This window comes from Homo sapiens, chromosome 15, assembly GCF_000001405.40.
Source record: "Homo sapiens chromosome 15, GRCh38.p14 Primary Assembly".
In the NCBI taxonomy this organism is placed as follows: domain Eukaryota; kingdom Metazoa; phylum Chordata; class Mammalia; order Primates; family Hominidae; genus Homo; species Homo sapiens.
Genome location: NC_000015.10, coordinates 92295005 through 92306785, shown reverse-complemented (window position 1 = coordinate 92306785; position 11781 = coordinate 92295005). Strand labels below are relative to the sequence as shown.

The 11781-nt window shown below is 44.6% G+C and overlaps 1 annotated feature.

Annotated features, from left to right (window-relative positions):
• Positions 1038-1538: an enhancer, noted in NCBI's record as "NANOG-H3K4me1 hESC enhancer chr15:92848478-92848978 (GRCh37/hg19 assembly coordinates)". NCBI's record gives its function as "activates a minimal SCP1, AML or CMV promoter by ChIP-STARR-seq in naive H9 embryonic stem cells {active_cell/tissue: H9 hESC(naive)}" and the evidence as "EXISTENCE:reporter gene assay evidence [ECO:0000049][PMID:30033119]".

Below are 11781 nucleotides of genomic sequence, written 5' to 3'. Positions count from 1 at the left end.
TCAGGCAAGGAAAATGTTTACTGGTGAAATGGTGGCGTTGGCTAGAATAATTTAACAGCTGGGTGAGAGTAGAGCAGGAGGGAGGCTCTAAAGAGATAAAAGCAGGCAGATTGTCAGGAAGCACTTATCTATCATGTAACAAAATGTTTTATTTTTTGTCACTGTCCGCTGATGTGTATCCTGACAACACTGTCCTTGTTCCCGTCCTCTTCCCCAATTGTGGCTGTCAAACTGGTGGGCTCATTAAAGTAAACCAGGCCTCCTGGGTTGAGGTCCCTGAATTTAGGACCTATTTTTTTTTTTCGGGTGTGTTGACTTCCAGGTATTAATTAGAACATTCCACAAAGAAGGGGGACTAAAATGTATTATGTTAGAATGTAATTCTCTTTACAAGAAGGGTGTTCAAAGAGTATATTTGCTTCCTCAGAAGTCATTTTTCTCTTCCCTGGGTTATCATCAAACCACAGAATGCTGAATTAGAAGGAACTGTGAAATCATTACGATGAGGCCCAACTCACTCGCTCTTTGTCTCTTTCCCTTCCTTCCTTCCTTTTTCTTTCTTTCTCTTTCTCTCTCTCTTCCCCTCCCTCCCTACCTCCCTCCCCCTCTCTCTCTCTTTCTCTTTCTCTCTTTCCTCTCTCTCTCTCTCTCTCTCTCCATTTGTAATCACCAGGGACATTCTTCCCTCTCTCCCCAAACCCCATATTTTGAAACTGGAAGCACTACATTGAGGAAATATAATTGCAGGTAAAAGCAAAGAAATGTAACATCTTCATCAATGTGTGCAGCCTTAACATGAGTGTGTGATTTCTACTAGACATTTTGCAATATTGAAAGGCACTCGGTGATCTCATAATTCCCTTTGTGGATGTCAAGGAACAAAGCATCCCAAGTTAGAAATCATGCATCCAATGTATCCTCCTCATTTTCCGGATGAGGAAGGGGAACTCCCCAAACTAAATTACCCAAAAGGGCATGTGAGTACTAAGGGAAGCTGGGGCAGCCACGTGGAAACGTGATCAGAGGAGTGGATCCCCGCTGTGAATGCACATTAGAATCATCTGACAAGCTTCTAAAAATACAGACACCTGGATTCAGAGATACTGATAGAGTTGGTCTGGGTTGGGGTTGGGGAATCTGATTCTAATGTGTAGCTGAGGTTAGAGAGATTACAAATGAGTTCAAGCCTTGAGTCACTGAACCCTGATCTTCTTTTAAGAGCTCTGTTCTCCCCCATCCCTACCCCGTTCAATTTGCCTTGCTAATAGAGGGAGGGCTTCACTTCAGCAATGATGAGAGCTCAAGCTGGGCTTTCATAGGAAGGGAGGAAATCCTAGTTGTTTATGAGGACCACACTGAAGACTTTGCAGAGACCTTGTGAATAGAAGGTAGTTATAAGCAGAAGTATACATGGCCAGGAGGGGCGCAACAAGGAGATTCACAAGCTGTCTGACACTGGACACATTGCAAAAATCTCCAGAGGTCAATTTGCTCATCCGTCAAAATGGGTCTTAGCATATACGGATCTTGCTAGATAAGAATCGTAATAGGGAATGGGGGAGATGGTGGCAACCTGGGGACTTGGTGCTCCTCCTGCAGAGGGTGGCTTATTGCTGTCCTGCAATAATAGGAACCTGGTACTGGAAGATGTCCTAATTCTTCCAGGTAAGCCAGAAATCCAGATTTTATGTAAAATCTCCTGAGTTTTAAAGTTGGGAAACACCTCCAAATGTTTTAAATGCACTGCTGGAGACAGCCTCAGTGGGGTGGGACTCAGCTCTAGGAAAAGCAGAGTGATTTCTGACCCATCTTATTTCTCAGATCCCTTCCAGATCTAACTTCCTAGGAATCCTTGATTGGGTTATGTTTCTATGAGAGTTGTACCAACTGACAAACCCTGGGAAGCACGTTTGGTAGCTACTGCTCCTTTACAGTTGAAAAGCTTATTTTGCCTTGGTCTTTGCCAGTCCCACCTGCTGCAGCCTGCTTGCTCTTAAGCATCCATGAACAGCAGAGACCAGGTACAGCCAAGGGTGCAGGGCACGTTTCTGATCTCCTGTGAGCCTCAGCATCTCCTAGCTCTGAAATGGGGACCGCAGCTCGAGAACTGTGAGCAGAGGCTCCGGGTAAGCCGGAGCTGCATGCTTGCCAAGAGCCCAGACAGTTGCTCCTGAAGGTTAGGGATTGCCCAGCCGTCGATGTGGGGTCCTCTCCCCGGAGCTGAGGTCAGAAGATGATTTCACTAGGTTAAATTGCCTGTCACTGGACCTGAGTACAAATCTAGATTCCCCTCCACCCTCTCCCAGCTGAATTAGGCTTCTAAAAATACCTCCAACAGCAGCATACTCCATCTGACTGGCTTGATAAGTTACAATCTTCAAAGCAGGTTTCCTGCTGCTCAGCCCACAGGAGTCCGTCCCTGGTCAAAGCTTTATTTTTTTTTGAAATCTGCCACCTTCTCCAGATCAGCAGAAAGCTGATGGGTACTTTGTTTGATATAAGAGCAAATGCTCGGCTGTCCAGTCAGAAACAACAGCAATATTCACCGAGAGAACCTTCCTCTATTTGCAATCCGGGACGTAGTAGAGGAAGGACCACCTTTGCACATCAGCCCCTAATCAGATCTGCAAAGAACATTTGGGGTGCTTGGGGGCAGCTCTCCAAAGGCTGCAGGACTTATTTATTGATACAAGTCTCCTGGGAACACTTGCGTTCAAGGATCAAGAGCGTTTAAGAGGTTTATGTAGTGTAATATTCAATGGAAAAGTGTGTAAAATAGATTACACAGTAGTATCTATCTAATCTGTTAAGAAATGGGAAGAAATCCACCAAAATGTTAAAATGGACCTCTCTGAATGCTCATGAGATTATGGATAAATTTTAGACTCTTTATGCTCTTTGTATTTACCAAAACACCACAAACAGCTTGTACTATGTTAACACACTTTTGAAAAGTTTTTAGTAGTTGATAATAGGTAGCATGTTTAGTTTTGTGTGAAAGTTTGAGGTGAAATGCTATTTGAGTTTTAAAATTATTTTACTCTTAGCAGGGTAATGTAGCTAATAACTTCTGATAGTGATGGATATTATGTTCTTTAAATTACATAAAATTGTTTTGAATCAAAAGAATCAGTCTGCAAATAACTGAATAAACTACTTAAGATATTTATACCCATTTGATCTAGTAGTTCGGAGAAGCTATCTTAAATATTAAATATAGAAGACAGTTATCCATGAAGATGCTCATCACAGCAGTATTTTAAAAATAAAATGGAAACAAACCCTTAAAGACATTTTAATGTATGTTTTAAACTAAAAGTATGAAATAAAATTTAAATAAAAAACATGAAATCATTAAAAATGATAACCAGAAAAATTTTAGTAAAATGGAAAATGCTTGTGTTTCAATGTTAAAAGAACAAAAACCTAGCAAACAAAATTGTATGCAAAGTAAAACTACACATGAAGATTATAAGTAGTATTTACTGCCTAGAGCTGTAGTGAGAATTAAGTGAAATAATATATCTGAACCTTTAGCTAAGTAGTAGATGTATTGTAGCATTCAATAAATGTTAGCTCTTAGTTTTCTATATATGTGTATAGTGAAAAGACTAAAGAAAGGGTTATTCAATCATCTTTTAATTTGGTGGAGTTATGACTGATTTGCAGGAGAGTTTTCTTTCCACTTGTATTTTCCAAATACTTCATAATGAATGAACAAATATTTCTTTAGCTATGGGGAAATAAATTATATAAACAAAAATAAAGGTCATTCTGTGTTTGGATTCCTCATTAAATTGACAGTGATGAGGGTTGCAGGGGAAGGGAGATCTTGTGATGGCCTTGAACACTCCAGCTGATCCAGCTATTGGATTGGGATGGTGTCACCAGCTCACACAAGATCATGGAGGTGATGGCCACAAGGTGACACTTAGAAAATCAAATAAAGGTACAACACATGCAGGCAAACTTAACCCTATCACACAGGGCCAAGGAAGGCGCACTCTGGGACACAACTTAAGGATGGATTGAAGAAGGAGGCCTCTGTGGGCTAGCCTCCTCTGCTCAGAAGTGGCTGGGTGCACAGTGGGGCATCTGCTTAGATAATGATACATTTCTCCATCAATTCCAGGGGCACTGGGTATATTTTTGTATTAACCAGTCAATCAGGAAAATGTCATTGAGTGTTGACCTGTCCTGCACAATTTGCTCTAATCCAACAACCAGTAAAATGGCCTCTGTGATTGTCTTTCTGGGCATGGTGGTGAGGGCTATGTGGGGAAAGAGGTGGTCATGCTGGTAGGGCCTAATATGTGGATTTTTGGAAGAAACATCAATGTAGTATTCTAGGGGAGTCTTCCTGCTGTGGCTTTTATCTCCCCAGCCTCTTCCATTTCCCGCAATGTTTCCATCCCTGAGTGCACGTGTCTATAAACTACTTAACTGGAAGGCTGGTGCTTGGTAAAAAGCATTCTGAGTTCCATCATTTTGACGAGCATGTTCCATTAAATGATCTACTCCCACAGGTAATAGAAGGCATCAAGGAGTAAGTCTACTGTTTTTTTTTTTTTTTTTTTTTTTTTTTTGCAGTTGCAAGATTTAAAGAATGAAAACAGAGCTCCCATACAAAGGGAAGGGACCCAAAGAGGGTAGCCGTTGTCACCTCGAGTGCCTGGGTTTATATCCTGATCATTGTCCCTCCTGCTGTACTCTCAGGTGATAGATGATTGGCTATTTCCTTACCTCCTGTTTTTGCCTAATTCGCATTTTAGCAAGCTCCCTTTACTACCTGATTGGTCGGCTGTGAGCTAAGTTGCAAGCCCCGTGTTTAAAGGTGGATGTGGTCACCTTCCCAACTAGGCTTAGGGATTCTTAATTGGCCTAGGAAATCCAGCTAGTCCTGTCTCTCAGTCCCCCCTCTCAATAGGAAAACCCAAGTGCTGTGGGGAGGTTGGCCGATGACCACTCTAACTGCTTCCTGCTGAACTGGGGTGTAGTAGAGGTCATGCAGTTGAGATTTCCTTGGGAGGGGTGGCTTCGATGTCATAAACATTGGAGCATGGGCTAGCAGGCTGGTCCAGGGGTCCACAGTAGATTTTAGTCATGGACTGCAGCTGGGGCTCCATTTGAAGAACGATTTGTAGCTTTACAGCTTTGATTTTGGAAGAGACAAACTTAACAAGGAGGTTAAAGATATCGGGAGTGAAATGTATGGCCTGAAGTGCAGGGGATTATTTTTTTGGGCACACTTCATAAGCCCTGACTATCTGCTTGATAGTTTTAAAAAGGCCTGGTCCAGTAAATAATGATTTGACCATCTGATGGGTGCTATCAATGCCTAAGTGAAAGGTTTTGTGAAGGGTTTTGAGTAATTTCCATTGGTTAGCTGCTGGTGAAAGTATTTTTCCTTCTTTGGTGGCTAGCCATCTTGAGGAGAGGAAACTATATCCTCATGAGGTTCCCCATTCTATTTCTTCTGCTGAGTACTGGGGCTAGGTTTCTTGGAGGGGATTACCCCATACTAGGGGTCTTTCTATAAGCATTTGTAATGGAGGGTCCTGTCTTGCGGCTCTTTTTGCTTTAATATCCGCTTGGCAGTTCCCTTCTATTTCCCTTTCCTTTCCTTTCTGATGACCCCAGCAGTGTAAGACTACCACCTCTTTAGGGTTCTGTACCACCAATAATAATCTCCTAATGGCTTCCTGATGTTTGATAGATGTTCCCTTGGAAGTTAGGAATTCCCTTTCTCTCCATATTGTTGCCTGGGCTTGGAGGACTAGGTAAGCATACTTAGAGTCTGTATATATATTTACCCTTTTTCCTTCTCCTAATTTTAGCGCCTGAGTGAGGGCTATTAGTCCTGCCAGCTGAGCACTAGTTCCTGGAGTGAGGGGATTACTTTCAAGTATTCCATTATCACTGACCACTGCATACCCTGCTTTTCGAAGTCCTTTTTCTACAAAGGAACTTTCATCAGTATACAAGTTGAGGTCAGGATCAGTCAAGGGAACCTCTAAAAAGTCCCCTCGAGTGGCGTAGGTTTGAGCAATTACTTGTTGACAGTTATGTTCTATCTTTTCTTCATTGTCTGGAAGAAATGTGGCTGGGTTAAGAGTTGCACAAGTGCACATTTGCAGCACTGGCCCTTTAAGTAATAGAGCCTGATATCTAAGTAAACGGTTGTCTGACAGCCACAAGTCTCCTTTAGCAGTAAGTATGCCGTTCGCATATATGTCCACACAGTAAGATCTCTTCCCATTATTATTTTAACTGCTTCAGATACTAAGACTGCTACTGCCGCCACTACCCATAAACAATGAGGCCAACCCTTTGCCACTACATCAATTTCTTTACTCAGGTATGCCATGGGTTGCAAGCTGGTCCCTTGGACCTGTGTAAGGATTCCTAGAGCTATTCCTGTTTCTTCTGTGACATATAAAGAAACTCTTGCCCCGTTGGCGAGCTTTACACTGGGGCTTGGGTTAGGGCCGTCTTTAGGGCCTAGAAAACCACTTCTGCTTCAGGTGTCCATCTTACTAAATGGGTATTGGCTTTCTGAGTTTCCTTAATTGGTGTATATAATGGCCTGGATATTTTGCCGTACCTGGGAATCCATATTCGACAGAAGCCTGTTATGCCAAGGATCCCTCTTAGTTGCTTTAGGGTTTTGGGATGAGGATAAGCCAGTATAGGCTGGATACGTTCCTCACTGAGGGCCCTGGTGCCTTTGGATAATTTTAGCCATAAGTATTTAACCTGCTGTGAGCAGAGCTGAGCCTTTGGTTTGGAAACCTTGTAGCTACAGGTGGCAAGGAAATTTAAGAGCGCTTGGGTAGCTTGATGGCACAAGGCTTCTGAACGGGCAGCTAAAAGTATATCATCCACATACTGAAGGACAAGAGTGTCCAGGTATGAGAACTGGCTCAAGTCTTGGGCTAATGCCTGGCCAAATAGATGGGGGCTATCCCTGAACTCTTGGGGTAAAACAGTCCAGGTGGGTTGAGACATTGGGTTTGAAGGATCTTCAAAGGCAAACAATAATTGAGAGTCAAGATGTACAGGGATGCAGAAAAAGGCATCCTTAAGGTCCAGGACTGTAAACCAGTCTGCTTCCTCTGATATTTGGGAAAGCAGAGTATACGGGTTGCCAGTGGTCTCAGTGTTTTCAGGCTATGCCCTTGTTTACATTGACAACAAGGTAGTATCGGAGTGTTGTAGGGTCATGGAGAAGACCTTCAATTATCAATCATAGGTTTTAAATTTACCCTGGCTTTTAAAGGAATAGGGCATATTGTTTTTTACTATTTCTATCTTTCTCTTTCTTTCTGTCTTTGACTCCCTCTTTGTCTCTCTACCTCTTTATCCTCTCTGCCTCTGTCTCCCTCCTCTCTGTCTCCCTCTCTTTCTCTCCTCTTAGGCATTTACAAACTTGGGGCCTTGGCAAAGGTGGTGGGGAAAGGGTCCCACATAACTGCCCATGTCGAGAGCTGTATACCTAAATCGGAGGGACACCAGGGACAAGACTCCCTGGGTTTATAGCCTAGATGCGTAAGGATGCAGCATAGAGCTTCCTTAGATCCCTCTGGAGATACAACTTGCTAGAGGAAATGAAAGTCTGAACTATTAGTACCTAGGAGGCAGGGATCAGAGGAAGTAGATTCAGAGGTAAGGAGAATTTTGGGGCTACACTTTCAAGAAAGTCATGGTCGGGACCCAGGAGGTATGGGTCAGAAAGAAAGGTAGGGGCACACTCATGGGTGACTGTTGAGTAGAGGCTTCTGGCTGCGCCAAGATCTCAACCGGCTAACGCCAGGAGTTCAGGATGACAACTTTCTGCCTCTGGTCAGCCCTTGGCTTCTCCAGGAAAATTGAAAGCGGAAGCTGGTTCTAGGCAGACGAATGGTCCCAACCCAGAAGGGTTGGGGATTGTTAGAAAGCCCTTCCCCAGACAGCCTCACACCTGAGTCTTAAGTCCGGCGGCCACGCTAATCCTTTTTAACTGGCTGACAGGTGCCCGGTATTTTCCTCCAATTCCAAGGAAGGATAGGACAGAATAGCAAGCAAAAGTGGTCCAATATTACTCACCACTTTGGAGGTCCCTTCGTGGTTGCCAAATGTTACCGGGGTCCTTGCTCCCAGAGCTCCCATGATGGTGGCAGGACACTTCCAAGATGGCGGCGGGCCACTTCCAAGATGGCAGCAAGCCTCATGTTCTCTGACCTGGGGTTCTTGGCCTCACGGATTCCTAGGAATGGAATCTTGGGCCATGCAGTGAGTGTTATAGGTCTATTAGAAGCCGTGGGTCACGGAAGAGAACCGTGGAACCCAGTGACTAGTGTTCAGCTCGATTAGGATCAACCTGGGCACTTAGCCATGCAGGAACAATGGCAAGCCTTTAGCCCGATCGGGAGTGGCAATGGGCGCCTCGCTGGATCAGGAGCACAGAGGACACCCTGCCAGATCTGGAGGGATGGAAATCAGCAGCGGGTCTGTGATGGCAGCAAATAGCAGTGGTGGACGGCGAGGGAAAAGCTCAGCTTGAGTCGTAACAAACACGGACCAGAAGAGTGCAGTTGCAAGATTTAATAGAGTGAAAACAGAGTTCCCATACAACAGGAGGGGACCCAAAGAGGGTAGCCTGGAGTAAGTCCACTTTTAAAACAGTCAGTGGCACAAGCTTTGGGCCAAGCAAAGTCTTCATACTGGAAGCTGTTTGCTCCACTATGGCCAAAGATGGGCTTCCCATGTCACTCCCTTTTCTGTATTGGAGGTAAAGACAGGCACTGGGGTAGGGGCGGGTAGGTGGCACGAGGTCTTTACCACCAGCCAGCAACTCTTGAAGCCCCCTGGAAGGACTTGCTTTGTCTCTTGGTGCCAATGGATGACATATTTTGCTTTGGGGCTGCTGATGGTATGTGCAACTCTCCGTAGAGTTTTAGCGGGGGTCATTTGAACAAAGGTAGAGTCAGTTTCTGACTTTCCCATCTTTATTTCCGCTTGGATTCGGGGCTAAGAAACTAATTTCCTGCCTTGTTGAATGCAGAACCCGGAGGCACCTTAACCTTTGATGACTGAGTTAAACTCTCGAATAGGCTGAATAATCATTAGGATTTAAATTAAGGATTAAACACTCCACAGGGCTCCCAGTGTGAGTGTACTCTGAGTACATGCGGCTTCTGTGGCTGTCAGTGTGGCAGCGAAGAATGTGATCTCAGAGTCTCTTGAGGCTCAGCTTGGGCTGGCAAACATGGATTCAGTCTCTGAACTTGTAATGCAGAATCCCTGCGCCACTTATCATAAAATCCAGGCACTCCTACAGTACCAATTAGCTCAAAGCAGGCTTTGCAAATATTTGAAAAGTCAAATCTCTACCTTGAATGCATCCAAGGCTGGCCTGCTGTTAACAACGGTACTCGTCATGCTATGGTTCTGGTTTCAACTTTGCTACTAACTTGCTGTGTGACCTTGGGCCAGTCAATCAGCTTTTCTGGAGCTTCTAAGATGAGACAGCTGGGTATGAGGATTGGTCCTGCTCAAATTTTGATGATTCTACTTTAGGCAGGGACTTCAAAGTTCCCACTTTCTTCTTGTGTCTGTTCTCATGAAGTACCCTTAACCTTCAATGCCCCCATCTACCCAACGATTATTTAAGATATACACACAGAATATCAAGAAATCACATCTTTTGATCTCCTGCCACGTAGTAAAGCACTTTGGAAAATCAAAGATGTGCCACAACCTGTGACCTTTGGCAATTGTACGAATTCTATAGGACACTAGTTCCCTAATATTTAATGAATCATTGGGAAAAAAGATGTTCGAATTTCCGTAAGTTTGGTTAATACTACATACTATATCACTGTCTTTTTTTGTGAGACAGAGTCTCAATCTGTCACCCAGGCTGGAGTGCAGTGGCATGATCTCAGCTCACTGCAACCTCTGCCTCCCGAGTTCAAGTGATTCTCCTGCCTCAGCCTCCCAAGTAGCTGGGACTACAGGTGTGTGCCACCACGCCCAGCTAATTTTTTGTATTTTTAGTAGAGACGGGGTTTCACCGTGTTAGCCAGGATGGTCTCAATCTCCTGACCTTGTGATCCACCCGCCTCGGCCTCCCAAAGTGCTGGGATTACAGGCGTGAGCCACCGTGCCCGGCCATCACTGTCTTAAAAATGTATAATGCATACTAGTTTTGTGCCCTGAGAAGCTGTTTAGCCAGCATTTTAACCTTCCAAACTATTCAACCACTGTGATCGTCTTTGTCTGTTCGGCTTATAATTTCCTTGCCACCCCTGCCACCCCCAGCAACAGTTGATTAGACTAGAGATGGGTATCTCACCCAAACTGGGCCAGTCAGCTGTAGTGGTGGACCTTCGATCCACAATGTGCAGTGAAGCAGCAGAGAACATCAGTCTGAAGAACAGAGCAGATAAGCAAAGAGGAACGAGGTGAAAGAGTATCTACATGGCATCCCGGATCCAGTTCATTCCTCAGGTCGGCTGCCTGTGGGTTCCTGAGATACTTCTGTATCCTTATAATAAGTTCTTTTCTGCCCAAGCCACTGTGAGTCATTTCTGTAACTTACAATGGAAAAAATATTATTTCCTTCCTTCCTTCCTTCCTTCTTTCCTTTCCCTCCCTTCCTTCCTTCCTTCCTTCCTTCCTTCCTTCCTTCCTTCCCTCCCTCCCTCCTTCCTTCCTTCCTTCCTTCCTTTCTTTCTTTCTTTCTTTCTTTCTTTCTTTCTTTCTTTCTTTCTTTCTTTCTTTCTTTCTTTCTTTCCTTTCTTTCTTTTCTTTCCTTCCTTCTTTCTCCTTCTGTCTGTCTGTCTGTCTGTCTCTCTCTCTCTCACTCTTTCTTTCTTTTTTTTTGAGGCAGAATCTCGCTCCGTCACCCAGGCTGGAGTGCAATGGTGCAATCTTGGCTCACTGCAACCTCCACCTCCTGGGTTCAAGTGATTCTCCTGCCTCAGCCTCCCAAGTAGCTGGGATTACAGGCATGTGCCACCACGCCCGGCTAATTTTTGTATTTTTTAGTAGAGATGGGGTTTCCCCATGTTGGCCAGGCTGGTCTTGAACTCCTGACCTCAGGTGATCCACCCACATTGACCTCCCAAATTCCCGGGATTACAGGCATGAGCCACTGCACCCGGCCCTTTCTTTCTTTTTTGGCATGCTTAATAGCATTTCCTTGAGCTTGCAGGATAGTTAACAATAATTTCTTCTAGCATCTCCTGGGAGCTGGGACAGGCTAAGCTGGGGAGTGCTCTAGCACTAAGACTAGAATTGTGGCAGAACTGTGGCAATTAGCTTCTGGTTTTTGGAAAGTAGGTAAGGGTGGTTTAGGAACAAGTCATCTCTCAGAGCAAGCGGAAGAAACCTAAATAAGCAAAACTGTGTCCAGAACAAGGGAGTGGCCACTGTGACATGCAAATTGTTACTCTTTGGAAAGACAACAGTGGCTCAAAGGTGTACTAATTGTGCTTTTATATTTTATAATGCTTGACATCTTGGGGGCCTTGCTGACTGTGGAGAAGCTGCCCCGCCCAGGGTTAGTTAATTCCTGGAAATCATCGATGGCTTATCTCTGAGCCTGCCTTTCAAATGCTGACCCACTGATCCATAGCCACGCCCCAGTCACCTTCTTCACTGAACACTCATGTAACAAGCCAATATTCCCCTGCCCTACATCAACTCAGGGCCAGGGACCAGATACCTAGGGGCAGCTTTATGCCACCAAAGCCTGCCGGGCTTATTCAAACTAGCCAATCCGAAGCTGTTTACCCT